General features: G+C 36.3%; 1 pseudogene across 1 annotated transcript; it reads left to right on the forward strand.

Annotated features, from left to right (window-relative positions):
- Positions 1-25,633, forward strand: SEC22B2P (SEC22 homolog B2, pseudogene; annotated as a pseudogene). Its single transcript, NR_158171.1, has 5 exons — positions 1-118; positions 7,379-7,488; positions 12,969-13,129; positions 15,814-15,960; positions 19,176-25,633. The product of NR_158171.1 is annotated as an SEC22 homolog B2, pseudogene (transcript).

The following is a 25,633-nucleotide window of genomic DNA, read 5'->3' on the forward strand; positions in this document are numbered from 1 at the left end:
CACTTCTCTGACTGGATGCACTGTGCGGAGGACACAGCTAAGGGCTGTGAAAATTCAAGAATAAAGAAAAGTCCTGCCTTCACGCAGCTCGCACTGTGAGGAGGTTTAATCAGGGATGGTAATTCAAAATAACTCGTGTTTAATCACCAGTGCAGATGGTGTCAGTAAACCTGCCTGGGGCGCTGCTTCCCAACCCCCACCAGGGCCTACGCCCTGCAGCCCACCGGAGGCGTGGCCGGAGGGCAGGCGCCAGGGCGGAAGGCGGGGGTCGTTCTAATTCCCTGGGGGTAGCTAATGGCCATGCCTGGAGGCGAAGCTTTTCAAAATGACTAACATGGAAAACCGCCAAAGACAATGGAATCTGGCAGAACTGTGGGGAGCAGGAATCTTAAGCGTTTGCATGTTGTTGGGGTAGAAGGGGCTCAAGAAGGGGATGCTCAGGGCAATAGCTTTTTTACTAATCTGTAAGAAATGTTCCAGTATTTTAATAGCTGGTACAGCCATACTGATGCATGCAGTCCAGATCGATAGATATTGGTCCAGATACAGTGGCACCTGTTAAAAGTTCAGTACATCACATTCTTTCAGGATTATCCCCAGTTCCCACCTTCTCCAATACGCCGTACCACATTCCTGCAATACATTGTAACTTATTTTTTTCTTTGTCTTTCAATAACTTGAGTTTCCTAGCGGGCAAACGACGGGTCTTAATCATCTCTTTGTTATCCATACCTTTTACGATAGCTGCTTTATGCTGGTAGGTGCTCAAAAGTATACTGAATTGATTAAAAACAGCACTAATTCCAGATGTCTTAAAAGAAAGCTGTTTTGTGTTTTAGAAACGCAGTGGAAATTTCTGAAGTAAGACAAGTTTCTGGAGCAAGCTTGGGAGGTTCTGAAGACAAAGCTGAGAATGGAATTTATATAATTTGTTTAAAGTGATCAATTTTATTTTACTTTTCCATACAGTCTAAGTAAAACCTTGAGCCTTAAAAAAAGATGAGATATTGAAAAAATAGTTTGCACATTTCTTCTGTTGGACTTTTCATTCATATATTAATGCAAAAAATTTTTACTGAGCACATCAAATGTGCCAGGCATAGTGTTAATGCAGGGAGTTAGAGTACACAGTCTCTACCTTTGTGGAGCTTACAGTCTAGTGGAAAAATCAGATAACCAACAAACTATTAAAATGTAGTTTAACTGCTAAGGAGAAGGAAGAGGGTTTTGTGCTTGAACATGGAAAATATATCTAAGTTGGTTTTAGGAAATCAGGAAAGTCTTCCCAGAAGGTATGACACTAAGGTAACAGTAGGATCCAGTAGTAAGGAACTATTATTCTATTTGGTTATATGCCTTTTTAGGTTTGATTTGGAAATATAGTTACTTTCACTTTTAGGAGAGTGGTGATACAGATAATAAAGTTGCAGGTCATGCTAAGTGAAATATATTCTATTCATTACATAAAAACAAAGTCTAATCTTTGAAATAAACCGTGAACAATTTAACATACCCCGATTTGCTAATGTGAAATGTTTTTCAGGAATACTCTAGGACCATCCTGCAGAAGGAGTGTAATTGTTCAAATGAACCTAGGAATATGATTTGAACAAAGTAGATAGTGCAGGGGAATATCCTTGAAGGATGTGTAGTTTGACTAAAAAATAGTTTTCCTACAGTGGGTGGCTGTGTGTTGGGGGTAGGGGGGATGGAATCTGGTCAATTTTTAAATTATTGCATTGAATTCCAGTGTTAGCAAAGAATACAAAGTGAACTTGAAAGTCTACTTAATATTAGTGGCCCCTACTCTCTGCCATGATACTTTATTGAAAAATTAATTGATTTATTGTTTTTTAATTATAAATTTGGTATTGATTTCATATTGGTTTATCAAGATGGGATGCTTTGTTTAATTGACAAGGAAAGAAATTTTACACACAAATATTTTTGTGATTGTAGTGCCATAGTATTTTCCTTTAGGAATTTTGACTTTGAATAATAAAGTTTGCCTAAACTTTTAATGTCTGTAAAGATCTGAATCTTAGGCTTACTTTTACTATTTTAATAGTATACAGAACATTTATAAAAGCACCTACTACATACCAAACACTGTGCTAAGCCTATTAAATTCATTTTTTTATTTAATCCTCATACTACCATATTAGAACAGGTACTATTAAAATCTCCAATAATAGATAAGGAAGCTCTGAGGCTTAGAGAGGATAGATCACTTGCCTAAATTCACAGCTAATAAGTGGCATAATGAAATTTTTCATCAGGGTTTTTCCCCTTGGCACTGTTGACATTTGGGGATGGATAATTATTTGTTCTTGGGGACTGTTCTGTATATTGTGTAGGAGGTCCAGCAATATTCCTGGCCTCTACCCTCTAGATGCCAGTAGTACCACTACCCTTCCCCACTTTGTTTGTTTGTATGACGACAAAAATATTTCTAGACATTGCTAAATGTCTCATGGGGGCAAAATCACCCCAATTGAGACCCAGTGGTTTTTATTAAGTTTTTGTCGACTCAGACAAAAACTTAATAACCACTGTACTTTAGTGCCTAACCACTGTACTTTACTGCCTTGTTCTAAGGCCTTTTAATGATGTCTTACCTCTTAGGAGTCCAGGAATAACTTTTTAATAAACAGATATCTCAACCAAACAGTTTTATATTTAATCACCTTAATTGTCCAGGCCAGATAATTCAATGTATTTTCATTTTTGTATGTTTTTGTTTTCTTATCAGTGTACTTTCAGTATTTACACTGATAATAGATATCATATTTTAGGTATTTACTAGGTGCCTGTACAAGCTGCCATATTACCGAAGATGGACAGTTATTCAGATAATACAATAGAGAGTAAAATTTACAAAATAATGTAGACAGAGTATTTTATACAGGGTGTTTCCTCTGTGTTTAACTGAAAATTTAGACTTAGGGCAGGAAGAGAGATGAGCTTTTCTTCTCAAATGTGGACTCCCTAACTGATACCCTGTTTATCTTTTTTCCTCATTCCTTTTATGGCATGTTTCTCCTTTTAGGATTTTTGCAATTTCTTTATCTACCTTTCTGTTCTGCCTCAAAATTATTGTATTTTCTTTCATTTTCCTCTGGCATCGTGAAGGGCAGTCCAGACTTGAAGAAAGTGTTAGATCTCACCAAATAGGCAGCAGGAAGCTCCAAGAAAGCAGATAGATAACATGTTATACAGTTAAATTGTCTCACGCTCCCAATCACTGAGGGTTGATTAATCCACTTACTGTAACTGCTTTTAGAGGAAAGTGGTTGGTTCTTGGTGCTGCTGGTCTTTGACCAGCTGAGTTCAGTGGGTATTGATACCCACTGAACTCAGCTATGAAAATGATAAGAGCTATGAAGGCAAAAGTTGTTATTGATACAACTAGTTGTTCAGCAGTCTTAGGTGACAGCAACGAAAAGTATTGCGGTTGTGTGTCAAGTTACTACCTTCTATCTTTTGTAATATATAGATCCAAATCCTACATTTGCTGTTGGATAACCTCAAATTTGTTTCACAGTTTTTCCAGTTATTCTGATCCACTGCATTATTGGATTACTAATAGATATCTCATAATTATATCATATACAAATTTCATTAATCTTTTCTAGATGAAGTAGAAAACACAATGAGGATATCTAAATATTTTTAGGTGGACTGGCTAACTGTGGGCCCTTTGTGACTTTGATCTTGAAAGCAAACTAAAGGTCAGTATGTAAAACAGTGGTTAGGTTGTTTTGTGAGATCTAGATCAGAGCTGCCCCATGGTTTCTTGAGCATTTCCAATGAGTTAGAATTACATAGTAAGACTTCACCTAAAAGGTGGATCTACTATTGAAACAATTTCAATTATAGAGTTAGGGTAGCATAATGCTTAGGAGTAGGGGCTCCAGGGCCAGATTGCCTGCATTCAGATCCTAGTTCCTCCCTTTTTAGCTTAGAGGCTAAAAAGTTTGACTTCTCAAGTAAAAAATTGACATAATAATTCTAATCACCTCATGAAGAATAAACGAGTTAAATAATGTAAAGTGTTCAGAACAGTGGCTGGCAGAAAGTGAACACTTAATAATTTCATTTGATCATTTCTGAAGAATCTTTTCTAATTCCATCTTGCCTTTCTTTTTTTTTTTTTTTTGAGATGGAGTCTCACTCTGTTGCCCAGGCTAGAGTGCAGTGGTGTGATCTCAGCTTACTGCAACCTCCGGTCCCCAGGTTCAAACGATTCTCCTGCTTCAGCCTCCCGAGTAGCTGGGATTACAGGCACCTGCAACCCTACCCGGCTAATTTTTGTATTTTTAGTTGAGATGGGGTTTCAGCATCTTGGCCAGTCTGATCTTGAACTCCTGACCTCATGATCCACCTGCCTTGGCCTCGCAAAGTACTGGGATTACAGGCGTGAACCCCCATACCCAGCCTCATCTTGCCTTTCTTAAAGGTTCACAGATCAGAACTGCACATAATCGATACACTGGATGCAAATATGTAATGAATGAATGATTTTTCACATTACAAAATTAATTTGTGCGTATTATAGAAAGTTCAGTAAATACATAAAAGCAAAATGACCAAAATGTTAACAGTGTTTATTAACTATAATCTGTACTCAAATTATATCCATTTTGGTGGATGACCTTAAACATATGTATGTGTGTATAACATTAAATAATAGGTAATACCGTAAGACTGTTTCACCTAATTTTTTCCACTTAACAGTGTTTAATGAATATTTTCTCATATCATTAAACTCTATACAGCATTGTTTTAATGGCTGCATAGTATTCCATTGTATGAATATGCCAGAAAGATTATTATTTAACCATGAAGATTGTGCTAGCATTGTGTTCTCAAGGATGGTAATGCTAACTGAACCAGCATGGTAAGGTGTTGGTTGGCATACCATAATCCCTATAAATACATCCCCAGTGTTGTATATTGGCAGTCTTTACATTGCTGTTTGCAAATTCCTGAAATTGCAGAATGCTTTTGGCCAGTTTCTTATAGTTGATACAGTTGTTAGTCTTTTTCTCAGGTTACAGTAATGTTTACAGTGCCTCTTGTAAAGTCAAAGGATTTGTACCAATCTGAGTGGCAATTTTTTCCATGTTTCTTCAACTAGTCCTTTTAAGATTCTCACCTGCCTTTAGCAAAGAACATATATTTAACACCTGTGGTTGCAGTTATGTAAAAAATACCGATGTCACAGCCCCACCTCCAAGATGCTGACTTAATTGGTTTGGTGGTGGAGACTGGGCATAAGTAGTTTTGTTTTTGAGATTTCCCCAAATGATTCTATTGTGAAGCCAAGGTTGAAAATCACCGATCTATGTTGATATTCTTTCTTGGCACTTGAGTAGCATTCCCAACATTATTTGCATGCTTTTTATCTACTCTTGTGGGTTCAGATCTCTTCAGAATGGCACTGGGGAAACAAAAAGATTGGTAAGTACCATTCAAATTTAGGAAAATAGAATATTGGGCACTAGTTCTTATTGGCTAAAAGCATATGACAGTATTCACTCTTACTGGCTGGCCATATATTAGTAGTACTGTTTAATATGATAATTTTGATATAATTATTATAAAGTACTGTTTAATATATAAAACTGTACATACATACAGACATACATATGTTAATATAGAACTATTTCTCAAATATATAACAAATATATGTCAATAAAACAAATAATTGCCATAACAGTGGTATTAAACAAGATAAATCTACAAACTAATACCTCGACTGGACTCTGCCTATCTCCCCTGGTTCACCTCATGCTTATTCACCTTCTTATTCATACTGAAATTTCCAGTTCACCATTTTTACATATAGCTTAGAATCTTATTATCCTGTAATTGTACATTTGCTGATCTGCCACTTTATCATTTTATTGTTGCTTCCTTGTTTTTATTATCAGCTTAGCAGTACACTATCTACAATTTTAAGATATCACTTTGTACTTTATCAAAGTTAGACCTCAGATCCTGGGAGACCCTAGCATAAATACTTTTCTACTTAAATATTTAGTTATTAAACATCTGCCAAAGGGAGGCTATTCTTTCTATGTAAAATAAATAATTCCAAAATAGGATTATTTCTTTGCATCACATGGCAGTGTCCTAGTCTGGGTTACTATACAAAATACCATAAATTGGGTGGCTTATAAATGACAGAAATTGATTTTTCTAGTTCTGCAAGGTGAAGATCAAGCACCAGCAGATTTGGTGACTATTGAGGGCCTATTCCTGGTTCATAGATGTCACCTTCTGGCTGTTTCCTCACATGGTGGATGGAGCAAGCTAGCCCTCTGGGGTCTCTTTTATAAAGGTACTAGTCGCATTCATGAGGGCTCTACCCTCATGACTTAATCACCTCCCAAAGGTCCCACTTCTTAATACCATCACTTTGGGGGGTTAGGATTTCAACATGAATTTTGTGGGGGATACCAGCAAACATTCAGACTATAGCTGGGTAGCTGGCAGAAAGCTCCCCTACCCCACATGTGGATGGAAAAACAATGTCTATTTGCTTCCCATTCTTCAGGCACTTCCTTTCCCTGTTGGATCTAGTAGATTGGAGATGCATGGTTTTCTTCTTTTGAAATGACACTGCTGGTTTTTCCAGTAGATTTGCCCCCTCTTTTTAACAAAAATAATTGTAAAAGCAGTTAGAAATTGTTCAGGAAAATATTACCTGTAATTATAACATGTGAATGCTATTATTTTCATTTTTGTCTGCATATATCCCTCGATATTCAAACTTTTGCTGTCCAAACTTGGGAACCAAATAGATTTCTTCAGTAAAGGGTATCTGACATGCTAATCTTTGTCTCTACCCTTGGTCATTTTTATGTAATTGCAGTCAAAGTGTTCATAATAATTTGCAGTCACTAGTACACACATTTAGTTTTGTTTAAATGCTAAAAACTGTAACACTTGTGGAAGGTTCTGCTGGATATTCCAACATAAAAATGAAATTCACCAATCTTGTTCCTAGGATATTCCCCTGAGTATAGCACATGCTGTGTAGTTCTGTGCCAATAACTGCAAATGAAATGGGTTAGGAGGAGAGTACTGTCCTAATAGTGGAAAGAAGACTGGATTGAAAGTTAGGAGTGCTTAAGTGTATTTGAGGTATATGCTTTTGCTTCTTAGCAAATAACTAATGCGATCATCTTGAAGAAGTAGGGGTTAGGTCTTCCTCTGTACTCTGAAAGTAGGTTGTCTTTCCTCCGTTAAAATGAATCTTACTTACCTGTAAATGAAGGACCTCATTCAGAGTGTCCTCATAATATGGTGCTTCTCACTAATTGATACAGCATTTTGTGGAAAATTCTTAAATGAAGATGTCTTCTTTCAGTCTGGCCGGGACCTTCAACAGTATCAGAGTCAGGCTAAGTAACTCTTTCGAAAGTTGAATGAACAGTCCCCTACCAGATGTACCTTGGAAGCAGGAGCCATGACTTTTCAGTGAGTGTAATCTTGATTTCTTTATGATCATTTAAGTGTGAAATACAGTAACAGAATGCCTGATAAAAAATAATAATTTTTAAAAAGTAAAGATTACTTAAAAATGTTGTCTTTTGGGAGGAGCAACTTCTCTGGCTCTAATTCTACAAAATGGACATCTTGTTGGTTTTTTCAGCATGCTTACAGTAATTTAACCTGTTAACATGTGTCTATGCTGTGCCCATCATGCAATAATAGATAACTTCTTGCTTTAGGACTGTCTTGGAGCCAGATATGTGTAGGTTAGTACCCTTGCTCAAACATTTCCTAACAGTGTAACTTTGAGCAGCTCACATAACTTCTCTAAGCCTCAGTTTCCTCTATAAAGTAGTGAAAATAAACATAGGAGGTTTGAGAGGATTGTGAGGGAATCCGTGTGTATTACTTAGCATCTTGTCTGACACACATGGGAAGGGTCAATAATTATTAGTTATTATTATTTTGAAAAAAGAAAATTATAAAAGATAAGAGCATCTTAATCAGTGGTTATAAACGATACAGCTGATAGAGGACTCAAAGGAACATTATTGGATTTTAAATTATCTACAAATAATTGGTATTTAATGTTTAATACATGCCAAGTTTGAAGCTGACAAAATGGGAAGGATTAAAAAGGAAAAGAGTACAAGAGCATCAGAGGAAAATAAAAACGGATTAGTTAAATAATCTTTGCTATTTTAGGGACTTAGATAGTAAGATAACTTAGGCCAGGGAGGAAGCTGCTATGTTTACTTTTAAAAAACAAAACAAAAATTCTCTACCTATAAAAGACAAGTAAAAAGTACATCAAAACAAAAATAAAACCCTAGGCAATTGGCTAAGAAAATGTTGGACATTATGTTTTATGATGTATTAATTTTTATAATATCTGAAATATTTTCTAGAACTCTAATTTTCAACACCAAAAATAGTCACTCACTTAATATCTAGTATCCTCATTTTCACCATGGTTTAGAGAACCAAGACCTAGGAAAGTTCTCATGGAACTGAGAAGAGATTTTCTTCTGCCTGATTCCTTTAGGACATTCATAATCTCATATCATCCTTTATTTCCATCCAAGAGCTATTAAGGGTTTATTCTTTGCCGGACCTTATATTGAGTCCTGCATTTAATGTCCATACCTTTTAACACTGTTCTCTTAGTACAGAGAGAGACATATACTCAAACAAGTATACTATAATATCTTCATTGAAAAGATGTTGTAAATTAGATTTAAATGAAATGTTTTGGGAACAGAGAGAAGGAAGGAACAAATTCCCATTTGTAGGGGGTAAGTTTGAAGAAACGGGACAGAGGAGGGGAGTATATTTAAAGAAGTTTCACAGAAAAAATTATGGTAGAATTGAACATATGGAAATGAACAGGATTTCTCCAGGTATTTAAAAGAGCATTAATGGTTAGAAAAAACAATATAAGCAGAAGTCCACAAATATGTAAAGAACCTAGCATGTTGGAAAACAGTCCGCCATTTGGTTTATTAAAATATATGATAGAATGTTGCTTACACTTGTTTTGAAAGGCTGTAAATATAATACCATGGAGTATGATTTTATTTTGTAGGTATTAGGGAACCCTTAGAGTTTGTAAGCAGGGTAATATGGTCATCTGTAGTCTCTGGGAATAAAACTGATGGTATAGAAGATGGTGTAGACTAAAAGCAAAGAGACCAGTTAACTCAGGTGCCCAAGCAAGGAATAAGACAGCTGTATTATTAATATTATTTTAAGGGACCTGAGAGATCATATAATAGTCTTTATCCTTTATGGAGCCCTAGGATGCCTCAGGAGCCACATAGAAAGGGCAAGGATGGGAGTATATATAATGCTTTGGGCCCCTAAACTCCTCCTTATGTTTTAAATTTTTTCCTTTTATTTTCAGTTGACATGTAATAATTATACATATTTATGGGATACAGAGTGATATTTCAATACATGTATACAATGTGTAATCAAATCAGAGTAATTAGCATATTCATCACCTCAAACATTTATCATTTCTTTGTGTTGTGAACATTCAAAATCTTGTAGCTTTTTGAAAATACGTGGTAAGTTATAGCTAGCCATATTTACCCTACAGTTCTGCAGAACACCAGAACTCATTCTTCCTATCCAGTTGTAATTTTTTATCCATTAACTTGCCTCTGCCCATCCTCCCCTTCTCTCTACCTTTCCCTACTTCTAATACCCACAATTCTACTCTCTACTTCCATGAGCTCAAAAATTTTTTTTGGCTCCTACATATGAATGAGAACATGCCATATTTATCTTTCTGTGCATGACTGATTTTATTTAACGTAATGTCCTCCAGATTTATCCATGTTGCTGCTAATGATAGAAATTCATTCTTTTTTATGGCTGAATAGTATTCCATGGTGTGTGTGTGTGTGTGTGTGTGTGTGTAAAAAACACTTTTAAAATCCATTATTCTCTTGATGGACATTTCTCTTGATTATCTATCCATAGATATTATGAATGGTGCTGCCGTAAACATGGGGGTACAGATAAGTTTTTAACATAATGAGTTTTTTTCCTTTGGAGAAATACCCAGCAGTGGGATTGCTAGATTGTATGGTAGTTCTGTTTTTAGTTTTTTGAGAAACCTCCATACTGTTTTCCATAGTGTATAAAAGTTCTCTTTTCTCTTCATCCTCAACAGCATTTATTGACTTTTGTCTTTTTAATAGACATTTTAACTGGGGTGAAATAATATGTCGTTGTGGTTTTTATTTGCATTTACCTGAAGATTAGTGATGTTGAGCATTTTTTCATATACTTGGCCATTCGCATGTCTTTTGAGAAATGTCAATTCTGTTCCTTGCCTACTTTTTAATTGAATTATTTTTGGTTTTGCTGTTGAGTTGTTTGAGTTCCTCGTATGTTCTGGATATTAGTTCCTCATCAGATGAATGAAACTAGATCCCTATCTCATCATATACAAAAATCAACTTAAAGTAGATTAAAGACTTAAGCATAAGACCCTAAACTATAAAACTACTAGAAGAAAACATAGGGGAAATGCTTCAGGACATGAACCTGGGCGAAGACTTTATGGAAAAGACTTCAAAGCATAGGCAACAGAAAAGAAAGTAGACAAATGGGACTGTATTAAACTAAAAGCTTCTGCACAGCAAAGGAAACAACACAGTGAAGAGACAACTTGCACAATGGGAGAAAATATTTGCAAACTCCTACTTAAACTAAAGAACCTCTGATTTTATCTGATATATACATTGGCCTTCTGAATATAAGTTTTGCTTGTTATATATACATATTCCATATATAAATATATATATTTGCATGTGTGTGTGTGTATACTATGGCTAAAAAGAAGTTGGAAAACCACTTAGTAGCCTAACATTTTTCTAAGAATTTCTCAGATGTGTAATCATATAGCCCCTTCCAGAGTGCATGGGCGCTCATCATCACAAAAGAAAGTCAGTTCCATTGTTGAAAAGTTTCCAGTTGATTACAGAGTCCTCCTGGACTGTAAATTAAGGAGTCTTATTAGTCTTGTACCCAGTAAACATTATGTCATTAACCTTACATTTCTATCCACAGAAATTTCCAGTTACAGTGTTTTCCTTTGTGGCTGGAAAGAGTTTAAATATGTGTATGCTAGTTTACCATATAGAATCAAAGGGTGGATGGAGTCACAACTCTGAATTTTTCAGGAAAAAGTCTTAAGTATTAAGCAAAAAACAAATAACCCCATTTAAAAAATGGACAAAAGACATGAGCAGATATTTCTCAAAACATACTAGAGGCTAGCAAACTAATGAAAAAATGCACATCACTAATTATTGGAGAAATGCAAATCAAAACCACAATAAGATACCATCTCACAACAGTCACAGGGCTATTATTAAAAAGTCAGAAAACAACAGATGCTGATGAGGCTGTGGAGAAAAAGGAATTGCTTATACACTGTTCGTGGGAATGTAAATTCAGCCACTGTGGAAAGCAGTTTAGAGATTTTTCAAAGAACTTAAAACAGAACTACCATTAGACCCAGCAAACCCATTAATGGGTTTATATCCAAAAGGAAACAAATCTTTCTACCAAAAATCATGCACTTGCATATTCATTGCAGCACTATTCACAATAGCAAAGATATCAACTAGGTACATGTTAGTGGTGGATTGGATAAAGAAAACGTAGTATATATTCAGTATGGAATACTATGCAGTCATAAAAAGAAATGAAATCATGTCTTTTGCAGCAACATGGATGGAGCTGGAAGTCATTACCTAAGTGAATTAATGCAGGAACAGAAAACTAAATACTGTATATTCTCATTTATAAGTTTATAAGCTAAACATTGGGCACTCATGGACATAAATATACTGAGGACTTACTAGAAGAGGAGGGAAGGAGGGGGCAGGGGTTGAAAAACTATTAGGTAGTATGCTTAGTACTTGGGTGACGGGATTGTTTGTACCCCAAACCTCGGCATTATGCAATATACCCAGGTAACAAACCCGCACATATACATCCTCAAGCTAAAATAAAAGTTTAAAATGTTAGTTGAAGAATTGTGTAATGGGCTGGGTCCAGTGGCTTACACCTGTAATCTCAGCACTTTGGGAGACTGAATTGGGTGGATCGATTGAGGTCACGAGTTTCAGACCAGCCTGGCCAAAATGGTGAAACCCCATCTCTACTAAAAATACAAAAATTAGCTGGGTGTGGTGGTGGGTGTCTGTAATCCCAGCTATTTGTGAAGCTGAGGCGTGAGAATCACCTGAACCTGGGAGGCGGAGATTGCTGTAACTGAGATCATGCCACTGCATTCCAGCCTGGGTAATCTGGGTGATCGAAAGAGCCCTGTCTCAAAAAAAAAAAAAAAAAAAGAGAATCTAATGGATGAAAAATTATAATAAATATGTCTAAATACTCCTTTTAGAATATACGGCTAATAGGCTGGGTGCAGTGGCTCACGCCTGTAATCCCAGCACTTTGGGAGGCTGAGGCGGGCGGATCACGAGGTCAAGATATCAAGACCATCCTGGCCAACTAACGTGGTGAAACCCCGTCTCTACTAAAAATACAAAAATTAGCTGGGCATAGTGGCGCACGCCTGTAGTCCCAGCTGCTCGGGAGGTTGAGGCAGGAGAATGGCTTGAACCCGGGAGGCGGAGGTTGCAGTGAGCCGAGATAATGCCACTGCACTCCAGCCCGGGGGCAGAGCGAGACTCCGTCTCAAAAAAAAAGAAAAAAAAAAACCAAAAACAAAAAAAAAAGAATATACATCTAATAATGGGAAGATGTTTGCTTTCTGATTCCAAGGATTTGCGGTTTTAAATTGACTCTCGTTTAGCCAGCCTCAAAGTATTTAGGCTAGATTTTTAAAAAAGTTTGCATGGTACAGAGATTCTGCTTTAAACTGTTGTCAGTGCTATTACTTTACAGACAACTTTGTCTTGCTTTTTATGTCTCACCAGCTACATTATTGAGCAGGGGGTGTGTGATTTGGTTTTATGTGAAGCTGCCTTCCCTAAGACGTTGGCTTTTGCCTACCTAGAAGATTTGCACTCAGAATTTGATGAACAGCATGGAAAGAAGGTGCCCACTGTGTCCCGACCCTATTCCTTTATTGAATTTGGTAAGTTTTTGCCCCTCACTTCTCTCTATCAAGGGAGCAAACAATATGGAGAAGCTATTTGTTACACTGATATAATATTTATACATTTTTTCTGATGTTTACTTGCTGAAGTTTTAGCTTCTGCTTCCTTTTCCATTCCACTTCTTTTTGTCTTTTTGAGTGACTAAGGCTTTGTTCTGAAAAGTAATTTTCTCTAGTCTTTTGATCTTTCCTCCATAGAAATTGTTGCCTTTTGCCCTTTCTGTTATTTGGTTTGATTCTTCTTTAGAGTCACATGTGACAGGAACTTTGCTAAAGATCTACTTGATTGGCATATAATGGCTGAGTTCTTCTTTACCCCAGTCCACAGACTCACACTCACAATAAGGCTCATTTTATGGAGATCAGAATTGGGAAATCAGAAAGAATGATGTTTTGTTTCTTTTAGTAGAATAAGATCCTCTAATTAAAAAAACAAAACAGAACAAAGAAATAGAAGATACCTGGTACTCATGGTATTGGGGTATAATATTTACTACATTCAGGAATGGTGAGCATAGGTGTCTGTATTTGTACAAGAATTATAGAAAGACCAATTACTAATCAGACCTGGTAAAGTATCTGATGGTAAGGGATCAAAGGAAATGTCCTAAGTACAGTAAGTACAGGGAGTGAGAACAAGTAGGATCAGGCTATATCGCTGCAATTTTTAGTTAAAAGAGAAATTGGTTTTACTGGCTTAGAATTTTTGAAGTGTTTCAAGTTTGCTAGATAAATGGGTCATCTTGCTTTGGAAAAACACTCTAGTGTTTCATAACTATATACTCTCCAAGTGCTGCTTTATATAATGTCCAGTTTTTCAAATTTTATTTTTATAGACAGTAATACTCCCATAAACCTCCCTCAAAAAGAAGACAAATGTATCAGGGTCATACAGGAAACAGATGGCACACCCAAATTAGCTTAAGGGATTATATACAAAGATATGACTAGGCTGTAGGAGAATTACAAGGTACAGTAACCTCTGACCAGTAGCATACTGGTTGTTACCATCCCTAGGCCTGAATGTATAAGGGGGAGGAGCAGTTTCTGAAACTGAAAAGGAGAAAATTTCTAGAGAAGGCCAACTTGAGAGGAGCGTAACTTTTGGTAGAGGGATACTTCCAGAAGAAGGTTATTTCCTTCTCTGAAAGAAGCCAGGGGAATAAATACCCGGACATCACTCACTGTCTGTTCTCCTTCTTCCCTACTGTTGGGGCTTCTTCATTGCCTGAACCTAACTGGCACAGAGCAAGGAGTCTATTGAGGCGCTTCATCCAAGTCAGCTTCCCAGTGCAGAAAGCAAGGTGCAGGAGGGCAGAGAGGAGATCTAAAGAGGCAAATGAAAGGGGTACAGCACACTTAAATTAAGATTTTTGCCAAATGTTGAAAATATCTTTAATAATAAGTCGTTCTTCCTATAGTTTTGAGAAATACTGATATGAGCAAAAGATGGATGAGACTTCAGTTTTTATTTATTTATTTATTTATTTACTTAGAGACAGAGTCTCGCTCTATTGCCCAGGCTGGGGTGCAGTGGCATGATTTTGGCTAACTGCAACCTCTGCCTCCTAGGTTCAAGTGATTCTTGTGCCTCAGCCTCCTGAATAGCTGGGACTAGAGGTGCACGCTGCCATGACCAGCTAGCTAATTTCGGTAATTTTGGTAGAGATGGGAGTTTTGCCTTGTTGGCCAGGCTGGTCTCGAATTCCTGGCCTCAAGTGATCCACCCATCTTGGCCTCCCAAAATGCTGGGATTTATACGTGTGAGACACAGTACCTGGCCGAGACTTCAGTTCAGTTTTATATTGGTATTTTGGAAAACTCCCTATTACATACTTGCTTTACCTGAGGTTTAAGAATGGAATGAAACTGGGAATGTATATTAGAGAAAATAAGGTAAAGTTTCTCAGCTTTTTAATGATCATGAGCCCTTTTGCCATGTTAGGCTGTAATAATGCTAGAGTGTTACCAGCATCCTTTTAAGGAATGTGTAGAGGTAAGTAACACTTAGCCTAAGGGTCCTCAGAATACTGTTTGAAAATTTCTGTTTTCAGGAAAGGCTTACTATAGTGGGTCTTAATTTCTCTAAGGATTCTGATAGCAGCCTTAGATAGCAAATACTTCTAATTTAAAGGTATTCAAAGGACATTTCTCCTGAATGGTCGTCTAATTATACCTTTACATCTTACAAATGAAATAATCAAAGCCTAGATTTTGATATTCAACCAAGAGTTTGGTTAACCATGGACAGTGGCAAATCCAGGAATAAAGACAGAACTGTTTTGGTTTTTTTGTTTTTGTTTTTGAGACAGAGTCTTGCTCTGTCACCCAGGCTAAAGTGTGGTGGTGTGATCTCAGCTCAGTGCAACCTCTGCCTCCCAAGTTCAAGTGATTCTCCTGGCTCAGCCTCCTGAGTAGCTGGGATTATAGGCGTGTGCCGCCACGCCTGGCTAACTTTTTATATTTTTAGTAGAGACGGGGTTTCACTGTGTTAGCCAGGATGGTCTCGATTTCCTGACCTCATGATTCACCTGCCTTGGCCTCCCAAAGTGCTGGGATTACAGGTGTGAGCCACCGTGCCTGGCCAACTCAGAACTTTTAATTTCCTACCTCAGTACTTTGATGGCCATGAAAGAAATGGTCAGTTTTCTTCATCATTCTAGATACTTTCATTCAGAAAACCAAGAAGCTCTACATTGACAGTTGTGCTCGAAGAAACCTAGGCTCCATCAACACTGAATTGCAAGATGTGCAGAGGATCATGGTGGCCAATATCGAAGAAGTGTTACAACGAGGAGAAGCACTCTCAGGTATCTAAAAGCAATGAGTCTTATGAAGAAATGGTTCTCATTCCATAGACAAGGATAGCTTATTTTGCAGTGCCTTTTATGCTATTAGATTCTACCTAGAACTGTTAAGAATTTATCTCCCAGAAGTACATTACATTACAATGCTTCCAATATATTTTTTTTCCTAGCATGATTAGTTTTTGTTGAGTTGGAACAGTGTAAAGGACTCATCCATATTAGAAGCAATGATTATTTCTAAGATATTCACAAAATTAATTAAATTATATAACTTGTATAAATTAAGGGAAATGAATGAGAGAAAACTCAACAATGTATTGCAGTGGTTTTTTGAGTAGCCTCTTTGGGAGACTTTACTGCTGCCAGATCAATCTTTATAAAATGCCATTTTCATCAAAGCATTCCTCTCTGAAAAACTTTTAAATCTGGGACTACAAGATAAGATCCAGTCTGACTTATTTTTCCGTCAGTCAGCCATTGTTATTGAGAGCTTGTTATTTGTAAGGCGTTGTGCTCTACATATGGAAAATAAGGAAGATGCAAATGTCTGTCATTCTCTAGTTCACAAACATTCTTCTGTAGCCACACCAGCTTCTTTACTATCCTTAGTGGTCCTTAGAACAGAATACTGCCTTATGCTGGACCTGTTCTGTATGTAAGACCTCCATAAGAACTGTCTCTTTAAAGAACCTTTCTCTGATCCTTATAGCCTGTATCACATTAATCTCTTCTGTCCTTTAAACTCCTAAAGCACTTAGTAACATAATGGTTTTAGCACATATTACATGTATGTGTGTTTACCTAATTTACCTTAAATATATTTATTAAATACCTCTTACCATATTAAATATATATTTAATATATATTAAATATATTTCCATATAACATAAGTATATGTTTCATATATTTATATTAAAGTAGGCAAACATATTTGGATAATTAAATATTTTTATATAATTTCATATATTTTTTTGAGACAGAGTCTTGTTCTGTTGCCCAGGCTGGAGCGCAATGGCACGATCTTGGCTCACTGCAACCTCCATCTCCTGGGTTCAAGCGATCTTCCCACCTTATCCTCCTGAGTAGCTGGGGCTACAGGCATGTGCCACCACGCCTGGCTAATTTTTGTATTTTCTTAGTAGAGATGGGGTTTTGCCATGTTGTTCCGGCTGGTCACAAACTCCAGGGCTCAAGCAATCCACTCACTTCAGCTTCCCAAAGTGCTGGGATTACAGGCATGAGCCACAACACCCAGCCCTTTATATAATTTTAAAAGTGTAGGTAATTAGGTAAAATTAGGTTAAAAGTATATGTATATTTACCTGATATTTCAATATTACCTAAGTGTTTAATGTGGACATGTAAGCTCTTTAAAGATAGTGCTTATGTATTTTATATCTGTTTCACATACTCCTTATATATCCCCCACAGAAATGGTCACAAATAGGTTCCTTAATAAGTATTTTTGAATTCAGCCATGCTATATATTCATTAGTAAGTGAGTTTTCTTTTATTATGAACTACAAACTTTAACCTTTTTTTGAGTAGTGAGCAGTTATTCATTTACCTTCACACTCTTTAAATACCAAATTTTGAGTGAGTGAGTGTGTAAGGTTTTGTCATACAGACTTGCAATTCCTATATGGGATAAAGTAGACTAGCACAGGAATTTTTCTTGTATCACTCATGCAAGACTCTAAATTCCTTAAAGGCAGGGATCATGTATATTTTGATCACTGTTGTATCCTCAGCACTTCACATGGTGCCTGTCACATAAATATTTGTTAAATGACTTCTCCAAGCAATAGCTTTGTCTTTATGTTATCCTGTATTTCAAAACGTTCATATATAAATTCTCTCAACTATGACTTGTTTCATAGGGTCTAATAATTGTTCCTCTGCTGAGTTATTCTCAGCAGATTTAGATTCATTTAGCAAATGTTTATTGAGCACTAACTATATACCAGGCCCTGTTCTGGGCATTCAGGATATAGCAGCAAACACAATAATTTAAAATCCCTGTCCAGTGAAGTGTATATTCTTGTAGGCTCTGTAAAAAGATGCCCTGTGCATTGTCATGGTTATTTCTCAGTCCCTGACTCTTCTTCCGTCACTAGATGTTTTTCTTACTCATGTGATCAGTTGCTAATTCAGACGTGGCTGTCATGCCTGTGTTATTAAGTAACGCCATGTTTCCCAATCAAAACCAGTCTCTATTAAGCAACTCCAAATATTCCAAAAGCATTCTTTAAGGAAGAAACAGCCGGATTGCAAAATAGTTTTTTCTGAAATTTCAAGAAGTGAAAAGTTTGATCAGAATTTATTATGTCAAATGGAGAGTTTGTGTTTATTATTAAAATATGCCCTATATTTTAATATGGTCTAGCTTGTGTCTATCTGGCTATTTCTCTAAGTGTTTAGTTAACTGTTATAAGAAGATAACAACATTACAAATGTCCTTGGGGGTGAAAAAACTTGCCAGAAAATACTAAAAAGCTTAATTTACTTGCGTTTTTTTTTGTAGTACTTATTGTATTTTAGTTACAACTTTCCTATGTCTATTGAAATATAAATCCTGATAGCTTTAACTTCGTAGTAGTCTCTACTATGTGGAGAATCTTAGAAATGTTAGCAGTCATCATTGAAGTATAGCTTAAGACTGTGTTTGGTTAATTGAATTTTCTGGTTATCTGAGTTTGTTTTACATGGATTATCATTATCGTTTTTCAAAATATAAGAGAATATGATTCAGACCATTAGAAGATTATGAAGATAATAATTATTAACATGTAATAATTATTATAATTTATCATGTGCAGGCATTGTTGCTCACTTTACAGGCAATCTCATGTACATACAACTTTATGACATAGTTACTGTTATTATCCCCAATTATAGATGAAGAAACTAGGTTTTAAATAGGTTACATGACTTGACCAATGTCACATAACTTGTACAGGTGATATCTGAACCAAAGAGTCTGAGGCCAGAACCTGCACTTCTAACCACCTTACTATATAGCCTCAAAAATTCAGACATAATCTGATCAGCATCATCAGTTAATTAGTATATGCAATGTTAGCCTCAAAATAAAAATGATGATTTAAGATTCATGGTTGTTGCAGTGCTGCTCATTTTGGTTATTTTTAATGCCTTAATACTTTCGGTAAAATACTTCCAGGGACTAATTAATGTTTTCCTTTTTTCCTCTTTGACAGCATTGGATTCAAAGGCTAACAATTTGTCCAGTCTGTCCAAGAAATACCGCCAGGATGCGAAGTACTTGAACATGCATTCCACTTATGCCAAACTTGCAGCAGTAGCTGTATTTTTCATCATGTTAATAGTGTATGTCCGATTCTGGTGGCTGTGAAATAATGAATACAGTCACTGGTAAGGGAGAACCTAGAACCCAGTAGGTGTATATTTTCAGGAAACTGAGCTCACAGAGATGTGTATTAGAATCCAAGTGGAACTTCTGCCTCTAAAGACCTTGCAAGAAAAGAGATGTCCTGAAAATGAAAGGTTGCACCTCATTTAATGAAGCTTAACCCTATGTAGAAAGTCTCTTTCGGGGGCAGAGGCTTTCTCTGGGTGCCAAGCCATATATATTAGGGAATAGTAGATTGTTATTTCGTTTTTTCCCTCCCAGTGCATTTTAAAAACAGCACTGGCTGGGCATTCTCATTCTCTGATGGAGCCATCAATGAGATTTAACTTAGTCAACCTGTGCTAGCAACATTCTGAAATTCCTTCAAAGAAGGCAGTCCTTTGGGAAGGTGTTTTTTTTTTTTTGTTTTTTTGTTTTTTTGTTTTTTTTTGACTCTAATCAACATTCCTTTTGTTGGTGACATTTGTGATTTTCAGTAATCTGAGTTTTTGATGGCCTTTTAAACAAGACTCCAGTATGTGAAGGTTAATTGCTGTGCTCCACAGATCTTGTCTATTGGCCCCTGTAGAAAGTTAACCTTTGTTGTTTTCCTTTTATAATTTGCTTATTGCACAATTGCTTTAGGGTAAGTGAATTATATTAAGATGCCTTGAAATTATAGCACTCCTTGATTAAGAAGCTAAAATGTTTCTCTCATTTACTCCTTAAACAAAAGACTTAAATTAGTTTGGGTCATTATTACTTTTATTTTGCAGCATTTGGTTTGTTATTAGTGTAAGAGCAAGTATAGGATATGGAGAGGCCCCTGGCTTCATGAGAACAAAGGCAGGCCCAGGTTATAATTACAGCTTTCTCCTGCCCCTTCTTTACTTTCTCTACCACAGTTTTCTCCGCTGTTTGTTTTCCTCTTGCCACAATTTGCTAACACTTAAAAAATTTTCCTGCACCCAGTAGTTTCATATCCTGTAGACATCCTCTTAGGACATTCTCAAATTTCAAAATAAAAAATATTCATCTATGTAGTTAATTAAAGTTAAAGTTTCTGCAGATCAACTACTCAAACTACTAAATACATTTACCTGAGAAAAAGTCTCTGAGAGCACTTCATTCCTGTTTTAGTTCGTGTAAATTCTCTGAGAATGTTCTGGAGATAGATAACTCATTTACAGTGGTTTCTATTAACTAATTAAAGTACCCATGATTTTTTCCTTTTCTGCTCAGGGATGATGGAGATTTCCTTTTACCTTTTTTAATGGGGTAAATTTTTTAATGGGGAAAATAGGCCTTTTAAATATTATTGCCAGGGTCTGCAATATAACTTAAAATTCCTGTACATACTGCAAATATTTCTTTAAATTGCACAGGAAAATGAGCGAACTTTTTATTTCTTAATATCTTTGGCAAAAAACTTTAACCAGTAAGCAATTTTATAACCCTGAGGGATCATCAAAGATACTATCCTGATTCCTGGTAAGGAAAAATATATTATTTCCTTATAACAAGGCAAGGAGAAATGCTATTTTATTCCTGATAATTTATATAGCTAGAATAATTTTTTTCCTTTCTTTTATGGACCTAAATCTGCCAATTGGGAATTTTGTGCATGAAATATGAAGTTACTTTTTATAGATAATCAGTGCTTTTAAGTCCCTAAAAGGCTCCTGCTGAAGTAATGATGAAGTTCATAATAAAAGCCTTTGAAAGGCTGAAAACCTACATAGTGGTACCATAGTATTTGGAGCTTCTATAGGAGTGGAGAGGGGCAGCTCATTGTTGAGAGTTGCATGCTGCAACCTAATGGTCAGCAATGAAAGAAATACTTGTAGAATGTTCACTTCAGTGTGAAGTTTTGTTATCTAGTTAATTTATATACATATATCCTTTGTAGATACATTTCTATCTAATCTTGTTGAGCTAATTAAGAAATAAGGGGTGGGGTAATTGTCAACAAAGGGAGAAGAAAGTGGTTTAAGATCAGGGCAGCAGAAAAATTAGAGAACAAGAATATCATAATATGGCTCCTGGTTTTCTTTATAAGAGGCAGTGGGAAGATCTGACTAGATGAAATGTATCATCAACCAAACTGGCATCTAAAATAGAATGGGATAAATACTGTATGGGGTTATTGGAGGCATATTAAGAAAGGACACCTAATTTATTTTGGGAAGAAGTATGTTAAGAGAAGACTTTCTAGAGAAGGAGAATGGGGCATTCTAGGAAGAGTCAATGGCATGTGCAAAGGCATGAATAAAGACAGTGAGGCATGTTTTGGAAATGTAACAGCTTGATTCAGCTTAGCCCATAGGGTAAGCATAGACAACAGAGGAGACTTGAGGAATGAGAACTAGATGGGTACACTATCATAAAGGGACTTGTCTATCATGCTGAGGAGTTTAGACCATCTTAATGGTAGTGGCCAAGGATGGCATCAGATTTATAGTTTCAAGTGATCATAATATTGGCATAAAAGATATATTAGGGAGGAAGCCTGAAGTAGGGAGATGAAAATAAGGAGCCATCAAAGGCAGAATGAAACTTAGGCAGATTTCAAGTGATTTTCAAAAATGATGTGATCAGAGGTACCAGATAATAACTATTACATAACACTTTCTTTGTTAGGAGCTTATTTCTCACACTGACCAAAGCTTTTGAAGTAAGTACTCTTTACACCACTATATAAATAAACCTTACAAAGGATTCTGCTTTGAGGCATGAGAGAGTTAAGTCATTTGCCCAAAGTCACAGAGTTAGAAAGTAATAGAGCTAAGATTTGAACCTAGGCAGTTTGGCTCCAGAGTCTGTGCTCTTACACTATATTACCACCAAGAGGTCAAATAAATACCAAAGAATGTATTTTCGAATTTAACAATGAGGAACTTAATCATACAGGCAGAAGTAATTCCAGAGCACCGGAGACAGAAGCCAGATTGCCATATGGGTTAAAGAGTGTGTAAACCACTAGGAAGTAAAGACATAGAACTACTCTCACAAGTGCTTTTCTGGTTATTGTGACGCTGAACTTCATGGCTTGTTTTAATTAAGACATCTTACAAGTGTCAAAATTTGGAAATATTTGGACACTGTACACTCTGGTTATTTAAATATCTAACAGTGGTTCTTGAGCATTTTGAGAAACCTTTGAAAATCTGATGAAAGGTATGTGCCATTACTCTAGAAAAATGTTCCTGTGTACATGCACATCAAGTATCACATACTGTTTCAGGCTGTTCAAAGACTACAAAGTCTGTTCATGACCTAATGGTCCATGTTCCCTCAGTTAAGAGCTCCAGAGATAAAGGATGTGGAACTCAAAGGTAAGTACCCAGAGCCTTGAAAACTCCATTTGTGACTTGGAAGAATTCTACAATTTGAATTAACTTTGTGGAGAGAGATATATTTTTGAAAAATTGTGTGTACCAAAAAAATTTCATATCAAATAATATTTTCCTGTAGTGCATTCAAGGATCTGGTTCCACAGCAAAAAATTGTTTTGGTCTCAGTTCCTCAAAATCACATTTAAGGAGCTTGAGATTTATATTTTCTACTTAATAAGTCTTACAAAAGCAAGTTAAGAAGGAAAATGGACAATCATTTCTGCACATGTAGGGTTTAATAAAACATGTATAATGAAATATTTCATATTTTAAATTTCCACCTTATTGGTAGCTTTCATGACAAAGGGCTAGGGTGCTGGTGGCCATACAATTAAGGTTTTTGGTTAGTTAGTTAGCAGAACTAACTGACTCCTACCTGGTGGGTTTTTCTTTTGTTTGTTTGTTTGGTTGGTTGGTTTTTTCCCAGATGGCTCAGGAGGAAGGTAAATAGCAGTCATTGTATGTGTGACAGAGTTTGAGATAGAATGAGCATATTGAATCCCACATCCTGTTCTTATTACTGTCAGGCAGCGTTGACCTAGCAGTATAAAACTATCTGAAGCAATGTAGTCACTCAGTTCTCATAAAGTTTATTTCAAGTACTGTAACAATTCATGTTTGGATTAGAAAAGTCACTAGAAATTTGACTTCCATATAGTAATCTATACTTTTTTCTCTCATTTCCTTCATTTTTTGAGCCGTAAGTGTAAGGCATTTTGGTGGTATTATTACAATGGTTATGAGGAGTTTCTTTGCTTGCCCAAGGTCACATAGCTAGCAAGTTAAAGTAGATTCAAATCCAGGCCTGCTAGATACCAAATTATTATTTAAGAGTACTTTTCACTACTCCTAAATAATGACACAGATATGTTTGTCTTACACATTTCACTTTATTGTCAAGTTATTAGTATGTTTATTTTCAAAAGGTATTTTTTGCAATTTCTTTTTATTATTCCGTACTTTTTAAATTTACTTCATTATCACGTCTTCCTTTATTCTTTTTAAATAGTTTTTGCTTTTGTTATTTTGTTTTCCCTTTTTTACTCTTGGTTTGTAATACATCTTTCCTTATTTGCTCCTTTCTCATTTGATCTCAATGTTAATCCAACTGTTTTCCACATCTGATTCACTAAAATTTTAGCCCTTTAAAAAAAAATTCCTGTTTTTCCTATCTCCTTTTGCCCATTCTCTTCTCCTTGCCTCTCTTCTTTTATCTTTTTCCATTTTACTTTCATTTTTTGTTTCTCTAGATGTTGTTTTGACATATGAGTTAATGTACTGGTACAATTTTGCATCTGTAAATTAGAGCTTCAGAATCAACTGAGTGTATTTATTCTTTATTTTTAGGCCTCAATTTATCTTACCTTTTATTGATTTTATAATATACTATACTCTTTCATTTTAGTCTGCATATGTTAGCCAAAGAAGATATGCCCCTGTTTTAAGAAATCTCTGTAAAAAATGTCAAGTGTGACAAGAATTCTTCAAGAAACAAGCTCCTCTAGTTTGTCTTCTATATTTAGAGCTTCAACAGTTACCTATATTACTGGTAACTCCCAAATATACCTTCAAACTTGTTTTTTGGGCCCAAGTTTTTTGCTTCATAGATATCTGTTTTGAATATCCCATAAATAATTGCATCTAAAGCATACCTCCACTCCATTGTTCTCACAGATAAAACCAAACCTGTGCTTCTTCTTATATTTCTAGTATTTAAGCGTCACCTGCCACCCCTTTACCTGAGCTACAAGTCACGCATTGCATTAGACTCCTCTGCTTTCTTCTTTCACCTCTAACTAGACTATTAACCAAAAATTTTTAAATATAACTTTCAAAAGGTGGGGTTTTATTACATCATTTCCATCCTTTATGTTTGGGTTCGAGCCCTCATTAACTTTAACATGGATTCTTGGAGTACCCTCCTTACTGATTTTGTTACACGTGTCCCTCTTTTAGTCAGTACTACCATGATAATACCATGGATAATAATTTTTTCATTTTTATTTTTAGTCTTGCTCTGTCGCCCAGGCTAGAGTGCAGTGGCGCGATCTCAGCTCACTGCAACCTCCACCTCCCGGGTTCAAGTGATTCTCCTGCCTCAGCCTACTGAGTAGCTGGGATTACAGGCACCTGCCACAGCTCCTGGCTAATTTTTGTGTTTTTAGTAGAGATGGAGTTTCACCGTCTTGAACTCCTGACCTCATGATCCACCCTCCTCGGCCTCCCAAAGTGCTGGGATTACAGGCATGGGCCACTGCGCCCGGCCAATAATTTTTCTTTTTTTTGTGCTAATCATACTACATTTTCTTTAGAATAAAAGATCACATACTTCAGTTTGCCATTCGCAGTCTGGCCCCATTGTGCCATTCTAGACTTACCTCCTGCCACTCCCCACCAGCTTTGTTTTGTCTTAGCCACACAAAATAATCTAGCGTCTCTAACCAGTCAAACATTTTACCTTGTGCCTTGGCTCACTCTGTGCCTTTTCTCCAGAATATCTTTCTGTGTACTTTTCTCCCATCCTTTTGCCTTTAAACCTGCTGCTATGGTTTGGATGTTGTTTGGCCCCTCCAAAACTCACGTTGTAGTTCAATTGCCAATGTAATAGTGTTGGAAGATGCTACTTTTAAGAGGTAATTAGGTTGCTAAGATGGATTAACATCTTTCTCTTGACACTGAGACTGGGTTCTCCTGGGAATGGTTAGTTCCCAAGAGAGTGAGTTGTTATAAAACAATGCTGCCTCTTCTATTTTGCACTTTTTGTTTGCACAAACTCGGTCCCCTTCTGTTTCTCTATGATGTTTTGATGCAGCATGAGGCAGTCATGAGAACCCACCAGATACAGCTGCCTGATCCTGAATTTCCCAGCCAACAGAACCAAGTGCTAAATAAAACTCTTTTTAATAAGTTA

The sequence above is a fragment of the Homo sapiens genome, chromosome 1, assembly GCF_000001405.40.
Source record: "Homo sapiens chromosome 1, GRCh38.p14 Primary Assembly".
Classification (NCBI taxonomy): domain Eukaryota; kingdom Metazoa; phylum Chordata; class Mammalia; order Primates; family Hominidae; genus Homo; species Homo sapiens.